The sequence below is a fragment of the Homo sapiens genome, chromosome 6 (assembly GCF_000001405.40).
Source record: "Homo sapiens chromosome 6, GRCh38.p14 Primary Assembly".
Classification (NCBI taxonomy): Eukaryota; Metazoa; Chordata; class Mammalia; order Primates; family Hominidae; genus Homo; species Homo sapiens.
The window spans coordinates 131870536-131889897 of NC_000006.12; the positions used below are offsets into that span (position 1 = coordinate 131870536).

Genomic DNA, 19362 nt, shown 5'->3' on the forward strand with positions numbered 1-19362 from the left:
AGAATAAGCTTTTCTGACAATTACCGGAATTGGGTTAGGTTGGTCTATTTGGTAAGATATGTTTCAATAGATAGATACTATTGACTATTAATGAAGAAAATAGATTTCACTGCAGGAAAATGGTTATGCAGATAGATTTACACAGTGTCACAAAGCACAGGCTGCATATGCCTAATACCAAGTTTTAATTCGTATTTTTTTAATTTAGAAAAGTAGTACATGACTGTTATAAAACCTGTTATAAAAACTATACAGATAGACTGGACACGATGGTGGCTCACGCCTGTTATTCCAGCACTTTGGGAGGCCGAGGCGGGCGGATCATAAGGTTAAGAGATCAAGACCATCCTGGCCAACGTGGTGAAACCCGTCTCTATGAAAAATACAAAAATTATCTGAGCGTGGTGGCATGTGCCTGCAATCTCAGCTACTGGGAAGGCTGAGGCAGGAGAATTGCTTGAACCTGGGAGGCAGAGGTTGCAGTGAGCTGAGATTGCGCCACTGCACTCCAGCCTGGTGACAGAGAGAGACTCCATCTAAAAAAAAAAAGCTCTACAGGCAATAGCAGTCTCCAGAGATGTTTGGGATGGGATAGCTAAGCTGTACCATACCCTTATCTTAGGCCCTCAAGTTTCCCAAATTAAAGCAAAAACTATATATGTATGTCACTTTACATAAATATATAAAATATATGTATATAAAATGTATACTCTTATCTGGATAATTTTCTCAAATTTATGTAATGTTTGGCTAAAATAAAATCTAGGAAGCTAGACAGTTATTGATTTGTAGTAGAAAGTACCCTATGTAAATCCATGGGCATACTATGCAAATGCAGTTTTTAAACTAGTCTACTTGCCTTCTCTTTGAAGTTTCCTCATACCCCTCTTATTTGAAAATTCTAGAACTATCATTGAATATTGAAGTATACAAAGTAAAAAGAAACAGCTTCCCACCTGAAGTCCTCCTACTTGACAACTCATTTCCCCTCTCTAGAAACAACCGTTGTTAAGCTTGGATTATGTCTTCCTGGATAATTGAGATATTTGAATAATTATTTTTGTTGTTGAGTATTTCCTAGGGAACAAGATGTACAAAACAGCCTTACAAAACACATACAGTTTTTATTTTTACCCAGTGAAACCATACCAGATCTAGATGGATAGATATTTTGAGGGATGGATGGATGATGGATATTGGTTACTAACTGGATGGAAAGATGGTTGGACAGGTGGATGGATAGTTAGGTGGATGAATGGATATGTGGGTTAAGAGATGGATGGATAGGTAGATGTTCTGTAACTTGTCTTTCCCTTTAACAATATGACACTATATCATGGGTGTCATTACAGGGTGATCCCTAAAGGTCTGTCTAATTCCTTTCAGTGGCTACAATGTAATGACTTAAATGAACTCTTTAAAACCTGCCTTGGTATTTAAATGCAGAGTTTGGATCTGACATTCTATATTTTTGTATTATGTTTTAATTATAGTATACAATCAACTATTAATTCTTATGTTTGTTCCCCTCCAGTTAACTATGAAGGCATTGCCCGAAATCTTTCTGTGAGTATCTTTATTTTCCATTATCTAGTTATTTTTACTTTTGTATAATATATATTGAGAGAAAAGTTTCAGCATCTATTATTGGGATTGAAGGATTAGAATATTTTAGTAATCTGGGCCAACATGGAAATGCTGTGTAGTTTAAAGATCTTTAAGGTCGTATCCCAATAATCCAGGTTTGAAAAATTTTTAAGAATTTGTCTATTGGCATTATAAAATTTATATGAGAAGAAGAAATAATTTTAAAACTATTTACAAGAAATAATTTTTAAAGTAGAAGGAAAAACCCTGTAGCTGTACCACCATAAACACCATTAGCGTTATGATATATTTCCTTCCAGTCTTTTTTTATGCCTTAAAAAATTAAGTTTCTGTACTAGTGCTGAGTTATCTATACTACATTTTATACTCATACATTTTAAGTCTGCAAGAAAACTCTTACAATTGCACTTACAAGGATGTTTGAAAATAGAACCATTAGTGGTAACTTGAATATAATCTAGTGACACTGAGTTCTGGGGCTTTTATGCAGTAATAATTATGATTTCCTCTAAATATTTCAAGTAGTTTGGAAGATTTACCTTGTACATTATATAAGTGGTTTATTTAGCTGTTTTTTCATCTGACTTATTGGGCCAGCTGATGAAATGTTTGTGAAAAAAAATTTCATATGAAGTTAGAAAGCAATTTCAAGAAAAGTTGACACTTTTTATAGATATTAGGGAAATATCTTTCCCTAATAAATATCTTTCCCTAAAAAAGTTGACACTTTTTTAGATATTAGGGAAATAATAGTTTTTCTTTGCTGTTTGCAATTTCAGTGCCGGGAACCAAACCAGCACTTCAAACCTTACCTGAAACATTTCTTACCTAAGCGTTTGCACTTTGCTAAGAGTGATAGAATTGAGCCCTTGACATTCTATTTGGACCCTCAGTGGCAACTTGCATTGTAAGTTCTGACAGTCTCCCAGGTAAACTTAGTCTGATCGGTTAGTGATTCAGGGTAACCATTGGGCCCTTTCTAACAATATTGTTATGTGAAAACTGTATAAGTATGATTCTCTTCACTCTAACCCAGGATTTCTAATGTCGGCCTATGGATGTTTGAGTTAGATAATTCTTTGTTGTGGAGAGCTGTCCTGCACATTGTGGGATATTTGACAAGGATCCTTTACTTCTCCCCACTAGATGAAAGTAGCACTTCTTCTGTAATGTGACAACCAAAAATGTCCGTCAGCGTTGCCAAAAGTCCCATGGGGAGGAAGGATCACCCAGACCATCCTTGGCTAAGAACCATTGTTCTGGCTTTTCATATACATATTGATTACTTCTTACAATCTACATTTGTTACTGCTTGCCATTGCATGTCTCCTGCACATTACAGTATGTCTAATTGTGCCTCCAAAGCCTAGCCAACAGTTGGTAAAAGCACTTTATAATAATGAGTAACTATCTTCATTATACACGTTGTTTTTTCATTCTTCTTATACTAATCCATCAATAAACTTTAGTTTATTGGTGTGTTTGGCAAATTATTTGGATGGTTAATAGTGTTAATATCTCACAACTTGTTCATTAACTGTTTTGGTGGTTGCCAAGAAGCTAGTCATGATACATACCCCTGTCAAGCAAAACCTAAGCAGTGAACCAAAATTCAGTAAACAGAATTATACTGTCTCCACTCTTATTGGAGAGCTGGGCTTTTAGTTTTCAAAAAATATATATATATATGAAAGGAGAAATGGTCCTATCTTCATGAGAGAACTAATATTTAGTAAATATCTAAACACCATGTTGCAAGCATTTCTTTAGGCTATATCATTGAATTTTTACAAATAACCGACATGAGAAATTGAAATCAAAGAAGACAGTTAAATCTATCTAAACTCACAAGTAGTTAATCACACAGCCAATGTTCAAAACCACTTCTGTCTTGATGCTAGTGGTTTTTCTTCTGTCTACTATATTGCTTATAGTTAATTTGTCCATGAAATAAAAGATAGAGGTGACTTCTTAATGCTTTTCAAAGCCAGGTGGTTTTATTTACCGTTGTGTTGGTTTAACAAAATAGTTACATACTTTTTAATCAATGAAAATAATGTTATGATTATCAATTATGTTTTATGAAAGGACTTTACATTTTTAATTCATATATGTCAACATTAGGAATCCCTCAGAAAGGAAATATTGTGGAAGTGGATTTCATGGCTCTGACAATGTATTTTCAAATATGCAAGTGAGTAAACCTATTATACTTAATTGGATTAAATCTAAAGAAAAAATGATATGCAAAGTTTTAGACTTGAAAACATACTGTGATTATATGTCTTGAATGAGAATTAATGGAACATACTTTCATAAAGCTATTTTTCTTTGAACATTAAAGAATTTTGTTAAAGTTTTATATTCATTGGCTATTACTAAAAAGTCAAAAAACAACAGATGTAGTAAGGATGTGGAGAAAAGGGAACACTTATACACTGTCAAAGGGAATGTAAATTAGTACAACCTCTATGGATCACTGTATAGAGATTTCTCAAAGAAATAAAAATGAAACTACCCCTAATCTAGCAATCCCACTACTGGGTATCTACCCAAAGGAAAAAAAATAATCAGTTTATCAAAGACACCTGCACTCGTATGTTTATCGCAGCACTATTCACAGAAGTAGTCATGGAATCAACCTAAATATTTATAAATGGATGATTGGATTAAAAATGTGTGAGATATATATATATATACACACACACACACACATACCATGAAATACTACTCAGCCATAAAAAGGAATGAAATCATGTCCTTTGCAGCAACATGGATGGAATTGGGGGCCATTATCCTTAGTGAAATAACTCAAACAAAAAGCTAAAAATCACATGTTCACTTGTAAGTGGTAGCTAAACAGTAGGCAAACACGGACATACAGAGTGGAATAATAAACATTGGAGACTCCCCAAAGGTGGGAGGGCAGGAGGAGTGTGAGGGATGAAATACCACTTATTGGGTACAATGTACACTATTCTGGTGATGGGTAACACTAAAAGCTCAGACTTCACCACTGTGCAATATATCCATGTAACATAACTGTACTCATACCCCTAAATTCATAAAGTTAAAAAATTAATAAAATTTTATATTCATGTTTCATAAACATATGACATATCTCCTATTATATTTCTAATAATTATTTTTCAAATTTTTGTGCTCTGTTGAGAGTATTGCTTTACAGTTGAAGAAAACCAGTGCTATAATAGATAAGAAAGTATCAGACTTATGTTCTGAGAAGGATAATATCTTACATTTACCCAGCACTTTAACATTTTCAAAATAAACTTACAATAATTATTTAATTTGATCCCTGCATCACTGTGTAAGGTGGGCAGGATGAGGTTTATATTGCATGTCATAGATGAAAAAAAAATGTTATCATTCATTCTGTTCTGATTGTCAAACCAAGAATTGTAGTAAAACTAAGAGACCTATCCTAGATGTCCTTAGATTATGTGTGTGATAGGGTTAAAACTATATTTCCCACAAAGTCCACTGAGCGTGGTAGTTTTCCTCTTATCTTATCATAACCAGTTTGTATATGTACAATGTGGATAACAGAATTTTTGGGACCAACTTGTAGACAGCTGAAATGCACTGATAAACTTCCTTTTCTGGCCATCTAGGCCCTCTTTGTTGGCTATGGACCTGGATTCAAGCATGGCATTGAGGCTGACACCTTTGAAAACATTGAAGTCTATAACTTAATGTGTGGTAAGTGTGAACAGGTGCCTTTTTTCCCTTCTGAAAATAGACCTGAAATAGGATTATCAAAAGCAGGTCACATTGTAGGCAACTTTGTGGAGATGATGGTGAGGCAAGACAGATTTTTACCTTCTTCCTGACTCTCAGACTCACTGAAGAAATGTGGGGAACATGTCATCTTATTACTTATCTGTTTGTTCCACTAGGCTGCTTGCTGGTTAAAGTACACCACTCACAGCAGGGTGGTCTGCACACCCCCACTGCCCAGCACTTTGCTAGGCCCTCGGCTTAGTGATTTGATTCTTGACTCAGAGCAGTGATAGAAGCCAGAAAAAGGAGATTGAGGGCAGTGAAAGGTGGACAAAACTTTTGGAACTTCTGGTAGCCATAATGGTTGAATATAGGTCAGTGTCAAGGTTGCAGAAATGAAGGAGGACCCATTAGGGAGATTCTTGGTTTACTTTGTACCTTCTGAAGTAGTCCTTTTGTGTTGAAGCATTGTGTGTTTTAAATATTAGTTTCTTATTCTGATAATGGTCCTAGGCATCTGCAAAACCTTAAATATGTCTTAAGTATAATTCTTTTAGTGGGAGTCTATATAGTTTAAATGAGTTAATGTATCCTAAAATACTTAAAACAGCAGCTGGCATATAGTAAGTGCTTACTACATAAGTATTTGCTGTTATTACATTTAAGAGCATGAGTCTTAGACTCAGACAAAGCTGGTTTTGAATTCTAGATCATTTAGTTAGTAACTTTGAGACTTGGGTAAAACACTTTGATTACTCATCTACCAAATATTGATGATAACTTATAAAATTGTTTTGGGGAATAAATAAGAAAATATGTTAGTACCATGATTGGCAAAAATATGCATTCAACAGGTTGTGACTGTAGTTATTGTATGCTTTAAATATCAGAAATTTTGTAGTGAAATACAGCATACATATCAGTATTTCTATTAAAAATAACCTAGTCTTAAATACTCTAAAACCCAAGAGAGTTTTATACTTTTATTTTAGTTAAAGAGTAAATGACTCATGTATTTGGTTTTAAAAAAGTAAAGATCATGGCACAAGTCTACTATTTGTTTGATTTGAAACATCTAAGTAACTCTACCATCTTGAAATTATGCAGATTTACTGAATTTGACACCGGCTCCTAATAACGGAACTCATGGAAGTCTTAACCACCTTCTAAAGAATCCTGTTTATACGCCAAAGCATCCCAAAGAAGTGCACCCCCTGGTACAGTGCCCCTTCACAAGAAACCCCAGAGATAACCTTGGCTGCTCATGTAACCCTTCGGTAAGTATCGTCAAGAAGTTTGGTCCAGTATGTATGGTTTGATAGCACCCTCTGCATAGCATGTGCTGTAAAAATACTTAATAATCAAATTAGAATTTAGGAGTGGGGGTAGGTAAACATATGTTTTAATTCTAGGGGGCGCATGTAGATCTTTTGTGATATATCTTTTCTCTTTCTAGTTTTTGCATTTTCCACTCTATTTTTAATTCCTTGGAGCTGTGACTTGACTTGGGTGCAGGTGTGGTGAAGTCTAGTTAGTTGACTTGGGTACGGGTGTGGAGAAGTCTAGTTCAGTTCTTGAGCATCCTGAATTAGGGAATCTGTGCTGTTAACTCTAGCAGTGAGGTGATGAGCACATAGTAAACCAATCACAATGTACCTTTTTAAAAATACAATTCAGATTGTTTAAATGTAGGGAGAAAAAAGATTTCTTGGTATGAAATGAATATATTACACTGTCCTTTTTTACTTCCATGTTAATATGTCATTATTATAAAAAGATAAAAATACTAGACAAGTTATGAACAAAATTGATAACATCCATGAGGGCACCTGTAATCCCAGCTACTTGGGAGGCTGAGGCAGGAGAATTGTTTGAACCTGGGAGGCGGAGGTTGCAGTGAGCCAAGATCACACCATCGCATTCCAGCCTGGGCAACAGGGCAAGACCCTTTCTCAAAAAAAAAAAAAAAAAAAAAAAAAAAAATATATATATATATATATATATATATATATATAGCAATTTGGAGAGTAGTTTATTTCATGCTTTACATTTTGTTTTAGACTTGAGTTAGAATAGAAGAAAGACTGTTGGGGTATATAGATGAGAATTATAAAGCAGCAATCATATTCTTATTTTTTAATTACTGGTGTGATGCTTATACTAACAATTTTGTCTTTTGCAACTGTCATTCCTCTCCTTCTGTCCTTTTCATCAAAAATGTAACTTCTGTCCAGGCATGGTGTACCACACCTGTAATCCCAGTACTTTGGGAGGCCGAGGTGAGAGGATTGCTTGAGACCAGGAGTTCAAGACCAGACTGGGCAACATAGTGAGACCCTGTCTGTACAAAAAACTAAAAAAATTAGCTGGGCATGGTGACATATGCCTGGAGTCCCATTTACTTGGGAGCCTGAGGTGGGAGGATTGCTTGAGCCCAGTAGGCCAAGGCTGCACTGAGTCATGATTGCACCACTGCACACCAGCCTGGGTGAAAGAGCAACACTCTTGCCTTGAAAGAGAAAAAAAAATCCACTAATACAAGACTATCATAAATGATCTTTGTTCTATGTTGGAATAATCAATCTATAGCGGTTCTATGTTACAAAATTTAAAACATGTCTCTCAGTCCTTAAAAATAGTTTTATAACCTTTTTTAGATTTTGCCGATTGAGGATTTTCAAACACAGTTCAATCTGACTGTGGCAGAAGGTAAGGCATGCTACACACTCAAGCTCGGAATGTGAAGCAGGCATTTTCTCATCAGTGTGAAATGCAGAGAACTGGCTTGGGGGTATTATTTGAGAATAACCAATAAAATAAAGGGAGTTCTGGAGGACCACCTGATGAAACATAGAGGTTTCTTTGCTTGACAGTTTAGACTATTAGGCATAAGGAAAGGAGATATTTTGCAGTGGATATTGTATGTAATGTATTTAGTGGAAGCTGAATCACACCTTGTGAACATGATGGAGGTGTTCAAAAATTTTTGATGATTTCTGTAAGTTGATAATAGAGACTGAGATTCCCATTTGAAATACCTAAGTTTCTATCTCACCTGGTTCTTAATCATACAAGGTTATATATTGATTTATTGATCTAAAGTTATTTCTGCATCACTTTTGACCAAAAATCAAGGATACACAGACAACTGATGAAATTTTTCACTTATGACTTGAATGTTTGGAGTCACTATAATACACTCTCTCAGCCTTAAGTTACTTGGCACACATTTTTTTTCTACTAGAATAAAGAGGTAAATTCTGCATTAGTTCTGATGTAAGTTTGTCTCTATAAAATCCCTAGGTAAATGCTGGAGTTAGGAAAATCTTTGATATCTCCAAGGTGGCAAAGTATTGTGGTGAATGATGGCACTTTCAGAATTGAGTAGATCCAAGTTTGAATATGAGCTTAGGTACTATATGTTCATGGAAATAGTATTCCCTGTCAGCTGCTGTTTCCTTATCTGTAAAATGGGCATATAACCTTAATTCATAGGGAAATGTAAAAATTAGTTATATGATGTGTACCAAGCCCTTGACATTTGGAAAAAGGGCAATAAATAATATCTATATTGTTATTGTTTTATTTAGTTTAGTCTCATAATTTCAATTCTGAACTTCTGCTTTCCAAGTACACATATCATTAAAAAAATTTGCTTTCTGGAGTGTGTCCTAAAGAATAAGTAATTAAAATAGTGCTTAAGAATTTTTGGTAATATAACTTTGAATTAACTGGAATATTTAGCAATTTCATATAGTGTCCTCATGGTATCTTGATATTACATTGATTTCAGAATCTTTATAGGCAAAAATAACAGTGAACCTCACTTGTCTTCTTAATTGTTTATGCTTCTACCCTTTGTAATCAGTTTTTTTAATAGTTAAAAGTAAATCTTCAATATAATTAAGTAGAGGAAAGGATTAGATGAGTGTATCACACTATATATTATCATATAATGCACACTAACTACATTTATTTTCATCCTGTGACCCAAGAGAAGATTATTAAGCATGAAACTTTACCCTATGGAAGACCTAGAGTTCTCCAGAAGGAAAACACCATCTGTCTTCTTTCCCAGCACCAGTTTATGAGTGGATACAGCCAAGACATCTTAATGCCCCTTTGGACATCCTATACCGTGGACAGAAATGCAAGTATTTGTCACCTCTTTATGTGTGGCCATTTCAAATTAATGATTAAGCAGAACATTAAATGCATAGTTTCTCACTGTTCACCTTGGCTTTATACTCAGTTCCCGCATTAGAGGAACACTGAAGAGGGAGTCAGAAAAATTCAGTTCCAGTTCAAGCTCTGCCACTGAGCAGCTGCATGACTTTGAGAACTCAGACCAAATTTCTTCTGTGAAATGAGGGTCGTGCAGTAAAGATTCTCTTTTGGGCTGTGCGCAGTGGCTCATGCCTGTAATCTCAGCACTTTGGGAGGCCGAGGCGGGCAGATCACGAGGTCAGGAGATCGAGACCATCCTGGCTAACACGGTGAAACTCCATCTCTACTAAAAATATAAAAAAATTAGCCGGGCGTGGTGGCGGGCGCCTGTAGTCCCAGCTACTCAGGAGGCTGAGGCAGGAGAATGGTGTGAACCCGGGAGGTGGTGGAGCTTGCAGTGAGCCAAGATGGCGCCACTGTACTCTAGCCTGGGTGACAGAGTGAGACTCCATCTCAAAAAAAAAAAAGAAAGAAAGAAAGAAAAGAATTCTCTTTTCCTCCCCGACCCCAGTTTTAATATTTTATGATTCCAATTTATAATTGCATGAAATCAGCCTTAGGATCAGTCACAGTTACCCATTTCTAAATACATGGCTGTGTGAGGACAAGTATTTCCCTCAGCTGTCCAAATCTAAGGGGGCCCTCACTGTTTGGCAAAGCCATTAAAGCTCAGTAACATCATTGCACGTACCATCTATAGGAAGACACGAGCCCAAACCAGGGAGAGGCCAGAATCCTGCCCACCACCAACACCAGAGGAGTTAGGCCTTGAAAGGAGTGAGGGCAAATATCCCAGAATAAGAGCAGCCTTCCCCCTCACCCATGGCCCCCTGGGTGCTCTGGTAGAAGGAGGAATGGTGAAGGAGATGGTGCTGGAAAGAGAGAAGGGGGAAGATGAGATTTTGATCTTACGTGGAATTGAAATTTTAAACTGGGCTGAAACTGAAAGTGACTGGCAAGGTACAGGATGCCCTAAGGGAACGACAAAGGGATTTGAGAGAGCATAGTGGAGGGCAGCAGTTTGATTTAAAAAATAAAATGATTTTTACTAATCAGTGAGACAACCAAATAAAAAGATAGGGATATGTCTGTTTATATATAATTTCTATGTTACAAATATATAATACACACATATATTTATATAAAATTTCTTGAACTTTGATTTTTAAAATTTTTCAATACTGTCTTCAAACACCAAACACTTAAAAAAATTTTTGACTTTGTAATTGATCAGTCTACACCATTTTTCATAGGCACCCCATCCTATTTATTAATATTTATACCTTAATTATGGGTTCCTTGATTCCATTTTCAGTTTTCTTATGTAATTAAAATGCATAACTTTACAGTCATTGCGATGCTTGAGGTTTTTACATTGCTGTTCGGTGACTGTCCTCCTTTGCTCCAGCAACTTTTGGCAGTGTAGTTGACTATGGAAGATAGACTCAGATCTCTAAAAATCAACATTTTACTATATAAAAGCTTAAAATTGACCAGCGCGGTGGCTCACGCCTGTAATCCCAACACTTTGGGGGGCTGAGGAGGGCAGATCACGAGGTCAGGAGTTCGAGACCATCCTGGCTAACATGGTGAAACCCTGTCTCTACTAAAAATACAAAAAATTAGCCAGGCGTGGTGGGTCACACCTGTAATCCCAGCACTTTGAGGGGGCTGCAGCGGATGGATCACCTGAGGTCAGGAGCTCAAGACCAGCCTTGCCAACATGGTGAAACCCCATCTCTACCAAAAACACAAAAATTAGCCAGGCGTGGTGGCAGATGCCTGTAGTCCCAGCTACTCGGGAAGCTGAGGCAGGAGAATCGCTTGAACCTGGGGGGCAGAGTTGCGGTGAGCCGAGATTGCGCCGCTGCCCTCTAGTCTGGGTGACAGAGTGAGACTCCATCTTAAAAAAATAATAATAATAAATAAATAAATAAATAAATAAATATTTAAAATTGTGTAGATAAAATCATTCTAAACATTATTTCATATTAGCATAGCAGAATCTGAAAATATTTGCATAAATATGACAATTAATATCTTTAATATTGTAAAGCATTTTTACACTTTAGTTAGAAAAAAAGATGAATATACTAGTAGGAAAATAGGGAAGGACATGAGCTGACAGCTAGAGCTTCATAATTTTATGATGTAGTTCACCTTTAAATATTAATAAAGCAATTTTCTTCTCTGTGCCTGATATCTGAGAGTTCTTCTCATTTTCGTTCTTCAGGACAGTTTCTCTACGGAAGACTTCTCCAACTGTCTGTACCAGGACTTTAGAATTCCTCTTAGTCCTGTCCATAAATGTTCATTTTATAAAAATAACACCAAAGTGAGTTACGGGTTCCTCTCCCCACCACGTAAGTTTTTTCCTCTCCTGACCTTCCCTTTTCTCCTTTTTGTTTTCTTTCTTGTTTATAAATCCTACCATACATTATAGGGTAATATATATATTACCTATTATATATATATAAATATTACCTATTTTATATATATATTATATATATAATATATATAAAGTATATATATTACTATTTTATATATATATAGCTATATATATATAGCTTTGTTTATTTATTGGTGAAAAATTGTGGATTTGGTCTAGAACTACCAAGGGAAAAATTTTAATCATCTAAAACTTGAATTTTATAAAATTTTCTTTTTGTTGGGAGGGTAGTTGATGTAGTGCAGATATGGTAAGCAGAACACTTCATGGTTCCTTTCTGCATTTCTTTTAAACAATTTGAGAATATTGTGAAGGTGGAATATATATATCAAGTTGGAAGAATATATCAAGGTTCTTAGGAAGATAACTTTGTTAGGATAAATAACTTTGTTGTTTAAAAAGAAAATGCGTTTGTCAGAGAAGTAGGTAAAGGTAGAGGCTTACATATGCTTGCTTTTTCACTGATCCAGAATCTCTAGGGAATGGCTTTTTTGAAGCTAAGTATTCTATTTTTTGAAATGGCAAATTTGTATGTTGATGAGAAGCCATTTTGGGGCCAGCCTTAAAAGGCAAAAATCAGAAAGCTCCAGGTGCTCAACTACCGTCAGCATCCAGTTCAGTTCCCAGAGTATGTGTCTGAAGTCAGAACTTGGCTATTGCATTATAAAAATAGACCAGGTCCAAGCCTCAAATTCATACAGAGAAGCCTTGTATGGTGTTTCGAGACAGACATCCTGTGATGTTTTTTCTGGGTAGCAGGTGTTGTTCTGGAGCCAGATGTTCTCTTTTTTCTTTTCACTGTGAAAAAGTGTAAGGAAAGAAGATTGTCAACACAATTCCTTTTAGTTGAAATGAGGGCAATAACGTTTGAATATGTTTAATTTGGGGCTCTTGTTATTAAAGTTTATGTTTCGTTGACATGCTCATCTTGAAAAGACTTCTTAAATATTTTATTTTTGTAAAGGACTTGACCAAACACATTACATTTTCCCTTGACCCTGTACTTGGGAAAGTTTTACAGGTTTAAGATGGTACTCAGCTAATTTTTAAAAATGCTCCCCTAACCATGAGAAACTATAATTTCCTATGTTATTTGTGAAGAATGAAAAAGTTGTCCTCTTTTCTCTTTGTAGAACTAAATAAAAATTCAAGTGGAATATATTCTGAAGCTTTGCTTACTACAAATATAGTGCCAATGTACCAGAGTTTTCAAGGTAAATAATGTTAACTCTATATTTGATAATTTTAATGAATTTGTGCACATATAGGCATAATTCATATGTAATAGGACTTATGGTCTAAATTAAATGAATTAATACCAAATACATTCTTAAAGGTTTAACTTTGAGAATACTAGTACACAAAAATTCTACAAATTATTAGAATTATCATGTATTCTAATTGTATAATTGTTTGCAAACAGTTTTGGTGAGAAAGTATGTGATGCGCTTCCTAAAGTTATCCAGCTAATACAGTCTGCTAACACTTATATTAACTTTCATTCGGCTTCCTTATTTAACTTTTTGGAAGTTCTTGATAATTGTCTATGTTTTCAAATGAATAGATTTTACATCATCATTAACTATTGCAGCATTTGACTTTTACAGGAATAAAAATTTAGTTACTTAAATTGATGTATAGAATATCAAAATATAAGCATATAAGGAGTTTTTAGTCTAATTTATATCTAGAATACTTGTGAATATTTCAAAGTTAATATTCAGATATTAATAGGAAATCGGAATAATATGCCTTGTTTGTGTTTGCGATGTTGCTATGCTTAATGATGACATATGATCACAATTTCAACATGATGTACTTGTTCAGGGATGTCTCAAAGAGAGTTGGGTTCAACGTTTGTCTGTGAGTCCTTTCAAAGGCCAAAGCTGAACAATGAATTTTTGGCCTCACACTAAGATTAGAGCCAAGGCTGGGTGTGGTGGCTCATGCTTGCAGTCCCAGCCCTTTGGGGAGTCCAACTCAGAAGGACTGCTTGAGGCCAGGAGTTCAAGATCAGCCTGGGAAACAGTGAGATCTGGTGTCTAGTCTCTACAAAAAATTTTAATTAGCTGGGCATGGTGATGTGCACCTGTAGTCCTAGCTATTCTGGAGACTGAGGCAGGAGCATCTCTTGACCCCAGGAGTTTGAGGCTGCAGTGAGCTATGATTGTGCCACTGCACTCCAGCCTGGGTGATATAGCACGACTCTGTCTCTAAACAAAAAACAAAACAAAACGAAGACTGAAGCCAAACTTGACTTTATCTTTATTTACTATAAATGCTAATTTTGAATCATGGTGTTAATTTATTTCACACGTCAACATGGTCCCTTGTTCTTTTGAAACTACACTGGCTTCTATCTTGTTTCAGTTATATGGCGCTACTTTCATGACACCCTACTGCGAAAGTATGCTGAAGAAAGAAATGGTGTCAATGTCGTCAGTGGTCCTGTGTTTGACTTTGATTATGATGGACGTTGTGATTCCTTAGAGAATCTGAGGCAGTAAGAACATATTTCATTACTCTTAAAAATAGGAATTACCATCCAGTAGAAATGGGATTACCATCCAGTTGAGTCAACAGAACCTTTTTTATCCAGTGTCGTATGTTTATGTGTATGACACTTCTGACTACACAGGAAGCCTCTTGAAATATCTGATTAATTTTGATGTTTTGCTCAATGTTCAGTAAAATATTTTTAGGTAAAAAAGTAGTGTTTCTCACCCATTCAGTTCAGTTGAATAATTTTTGCACTCAGTTTAAATGCTGAACTCATTTAAGATCTCTGTGTGGCTGATTGTTAAGATATGATCTTAATATATTGTGAGTCAGAAGATGAAGAACTCTATGGTGTGGCTACAGATATCCTGAGTCTAGGAATGAATAGGGTTATAAAGCTGCAGTGCTTGGAGTCTGGTGGCCTTGGGTGAATGTTATGGCTTTTACCCAACTGTGGCTGGAGGGGCATGATAAAAAGCAACCGTCTGAAGGAAACCATCAGTGGTGCTTTTTTAAAAAAGAGAGGGAAAGAACATCTTGGAAACTGGTTGATCTTTATTGAAACAATAATTACAGCAGTTTGGGAAGCAATTTTGCTGTTAAGTCCGTAGGAAAAAGACTGAGATTCCACTGAGATTCAGCCCCTCTCAGAACTTTCCTACTCTCCCAGGCTGACTTAGATATATGTGACTTACAAAATACATCAGAAAGCACATCAATTTGCAAAGTTACAGTTTTTTACTTTCCCTTGAGGCATAAAGCTGCCTTAGAAGCTGTAGCACTGGAGAGGATACAGAAGAGAACTGCATATGCTTCCTACCCACGGCTTCACCCAGAGCCCTCTGTTTAAATCTGTTTTATAGATTATGTTTCTACATAAGGTCATATTTGAAAACAATGATTCCACTGCCTTAAATTTTGAAAGATGTTGAAAAAACAAACACAGCCTTAAAATAGGAGAATGACTATGAGGTAAAGATGTTTGGGACATCTTTGATAATATACTTCAGTTTAAAAAATTAAGTTATTAAGGAAGAAAATCCAGTTAGAACAAACAATTCATGACAACATGTCCTCTCTGAAGGGGCTGGAATAGAAAATTCCTAACCAGTTCTTTCTCTGCCCACTATTTGTCTATAATCGCCTAGAAGTTAAGACTATCAATAATGGTTTACACTCTTGGTCATAGGTGTTCAAAAATGACATTTTCTTTTCTTTAGTGTTTCAATTTCAATGTCTTTAGGTAGAACTAAAAGAATTCTAAAAGTCAATAAACTTCTACAGAAAATAAAAATTATTTGGAGTGTGTTTATCTGCCTGTCTTCTAATTATTGCTCTCAATCTGGCAGAGTATGTTGAGGTATTGTGATTACTAGCTTCTTATATTTAATTATTTGTTTGAATTTGATTTTTATATGTATTAAAAGCATGCTCTACTGAAATATTCATCAAAAGGAAGATAGTTATTTCTTTCTTAAAATGAATATTGGCATGTTTTACAGAAAAAGAAGAGTCATCCGTAACCAAGAAATTTTGATTCCAACTCACTTCTTTATTGTGCTAACAAGCTGTAAAGATACATCTCAGACGCCTTTGCACTGTGAAAACCTAGACACCTTAGCTTTCATTTTGCCTCACAGGACTGATAACAGCGAGAGCTGTGTGGTAAGTAGCTTTTGTATATTTACTTTGCATGTTGAAAATCTAGACATATGCATATTTGTTTATGTCACCCATCTGACATTACAGTGAGAGAAAGCACAACTGAGTACACATGGACTTCGAAATTATAGGATGCTTTTAAATTTGATCTTTTAAGATGACATATCTTTGGGGAAGACTACCCTTGTCTGCTTTTACTTTTTTCTTTTTTTTTTTTTTTTTTTTAGAGATAGGGTCTTTCTATGTTGCCCAGGCTGGTCTTGAACTCCTGGCCTCTTATGATCCTCCTGTCTTGGCCTCCCAAAGTGCTGAGATTGCAGGTGTGAGCCACCCTGCCTGGCCCCTTTGTCTGGTAAAGATACTAAAAATCAGATCAGAATCAAACTTTGTATGGCTTAACCACTAAAGTCTAGGTTTATCTGAGGTATGGATTTTCTCTTTTTTTAAAACTGGATGTATAATTTCAAAGTGTCAGCACTGTTATAAATTAAAGTTGTTAGACAACATTTCAAATTTTCTGTGTATCACTTAATTATAAAAAATCTTTTCCTTTCTTATCGTATTGTCATCCCAGTGTGTTTGGGAATAATTGTTTTATATTATCTTATTTGCTCAGAATTTTAAAAATCTACATTGTAGATTGGGACATCAAGACTGCATAACATTTTAGCAATTTTTTTTTTTTTTTTGAGACAGAGTCTCACTTTGGCTCCCAGGCTGGAGTGCAGTGGCATGATCTCGGCTCACCGCAAGCTCCGCCTTCTGGGTTCACACCATTCTCCTGCCTCAGCCTCCCGAGTAGCTGGGACTACAGGCGCCCGCCACCACACCCAGCTAATTTTTTTTTTTTTTTTTGAGACAGAGTCTCACTTTGGCTTCCAGGCTGGAGTGCAGTGGCATGATCTCGGCTCACTGCAAGCTCCGCCTTCTGGGCTCACGCCATTCTCCTGCCTCAGCCTCCCGAGTAGCTGGGACTACAGGCGCCCGCCACCACACCCGGCTAATTTTTTTTTTTTTTTTTTTTTAGTAGAGATGGGGTTTCACCGTGTTAGCCAGGATGGTCTCAATCTCCTGACCTTGTGATCCACCCGCCTTGTCCTTCCAAAATGCTGGGATTACAGGCGTGAGCCACCGTGCCTGGCCTTTTTTTTTTTTTTTTTTTGGAGTCTTGCTCTGTCACCCAGGCTGGAAGGCAGTGGCGTGATCTCGGCTCCCTGCAACCTCCGCTTCCCGGGCTCAAGCGATTCTCCTGCCTCAGCCTCCCGAATAGCTGGGATTACAGGCACCTGCCACCCATGCCCAGCTAATTTTTGTATTTTTAGTGGAGATGGGGTTTCGCCGTGTTGGCCAGGCTGTTCTCTACCTCCTGACCTCAGGTGATCTGCTGGCCTTAGCCTCCCAAAGTGCGGGGGTTACAGTCATGAGCCACTGTGCCCGGCCCATTTTAGCAATTTTTAAGTTTTCTCTTATGGTGAGCCAAAATATATTTCTTTCAGAGTACTTCCTACATTTCCTTTTTTTTTTTTTTTCATTGAAGTGACACCAAGTAAGTCTAAACCTGAATCTGCAAAAAGATGTAGCTTTCATACCAGTCCCAATGAATGGGTGGTAGGTACCTGGAGTTAGGATCTTGAGACCCAGTATGAGCTCAGCAGGAAAGAGTGCTGTATCCACTCATTCATTCACTACTACTTTGATTCACCATTCATTCCTTTGATATTTATAATCAGGTGCTCTAGGTACTGAGGACACAGCAGTGAACAAAATAGTGAGCTCTTCTCTGGGCCCAAGAGTAGAATACAATGATCCGTTTGCCATCCCTGATGGTAGTAGTCTTTCTATATATCGTTAAAATTCATGAAGATATGTCTCTCCTTAATTGTTTCTATGATAAACTTTCAGAATTACTTGTTCCTATAGAACACATTTCTCATTATTTTTCCCTTTATTCTTTAGAATTAAATACAGAATAGCAAGATTTTAGTTGGTTGCCTGATGATTATCTGACTCCACTGAAAGTTGTCAGTTTTGTGGGCATTGTTGGAAACATGCAGCTATTCCCTGCTTCATTATTTCGTTTGAGAGATTATATTGTCATTGAATGTATCAATTAGAGTAGGGTTCTGCAGCAAATAACAGAAACCCCTTTGCAGTGGCTTAAGCAAGTCAGGGATTCCTCATGGAACAGCAAGTCCAGCTGCACACAGTCCTGGGATGGCGCTTTGGGTCAACTGCACCATTAGGGACCCAGAACTTTTCCCTCTTTCTGCTCCACCATTCTTAGCATGTGGCTTTGGCCCACGTGGGCTTCTTCATGCATCTTTGTAGGTAACACATTCTCATAAAAACTAGTATTTGTGTAGTACATTTGCACACATCATTACGTTTGATCCTCAAAATAACCCGATGAGGAGGATACAGATAAAGGAATCAAGACTTATATGTTAAATAACTTTCCTTAGTTTACCTGATACGATTGTCACAGAACCAGCCTCTTTTAAAAAAATTTTCAACTTTTAAGTTCAGGGGTACATGTGCAGGATGTGCAGGTTTGTTGCATAGGTAAATGTGTGCCATGGTGGTTTGCTGCACAGATCATCCCGTCACCCAGGTATTAAGCCCAGCATCCATTAGCTATTCTTTCTGATGCTCTCCCTCCTCCCACCCCCTGCCCTCCAACAGGCCCCAGTGTATTTTCTTCCCCCACACGTGTTTATGTGTTCTCATCCTTCAGCTCCCTCTTATAATTGAGAACATGAGGTTTCGATTTTCTGTTTCTGCATTAGTTTGCTAAGGATAATGGCCTCCAGCTCCATCCATGTCCCTGCACAGGACATGATCTTTTATGGCTGCATAGTATTCCATGGTATACATGTACCACATTTTCTTAATTTAGTCTATCATTGACCATATACACCATAGTATTCCATGGTGTGTATGTACCACATTTTCTTGATCCAGTCTATCATTGTTGGGCACTTAAGTTGATTCCATGTCTCTCCTATTGTGAATAGTGCTGCACTGAACATATGCGTGCGTGTATCTGTATAATAGAATGATTTATATTCCTGTGGGTATGTACCCAGTAATGGGATTGCTGGGTCCAGTGGTATTTCTGCCTCTAGGTCTTTGAGGAATTGCCACACTGTCTTCCACAGTGGTTGCACTAATTTACA

At 36.6% G+C, this 19362-nt stretch overlaps 1 protein-coding gene across 1 annotated transcript in view; it reads left to right on the top strand.

The window, feature by feature from the left end:
* ENPP1 (ectonucleotide pyrophosphatase/phosphodiesterase 1) overlaps window positions 1-19362 on the top strand; it is an 87136-nt gene that overhangs the window by 62516 nt on the left and 5258 nt on the right. The window contains exons 14-24 of the mRNA NM_006208.3: window positions 1535-1566; window positions 2388-2515; window positions 3733-3802; window positions 5241-5328; window positions 6457-6626; window positions 8007-8058; window positions 9345-9499; window positions 11810-11939; window positions 13159-13239; window positions 14396-14528; window positions 16027-16189. Of these exons, the coding sequence (NP_006199.2) occupies window positions 1535-1566; window positions 2388-2515; window positions 3733-3802; window positions 5241-5328; window positions 6457-6626; window positions 8007-8058; window positions 9345-9499; window positions 11810-11939; window positions 13159-13239; window positions 14396-14528; window positions 16027-16189 (1202 nt within the window). The remainder of the gene's footprint in view (window positions 1-1534; window positions 1567-2387; window positions 2516-3732; window positions 3803-5240; window positions 5329-6456; window positions 6627-8006; window positions 8059-9344; window positions 9500-11809; window positions 11940-13158; window positions 13240-14395; window positions 14529-16026; window positions 16190-19362) is intronic.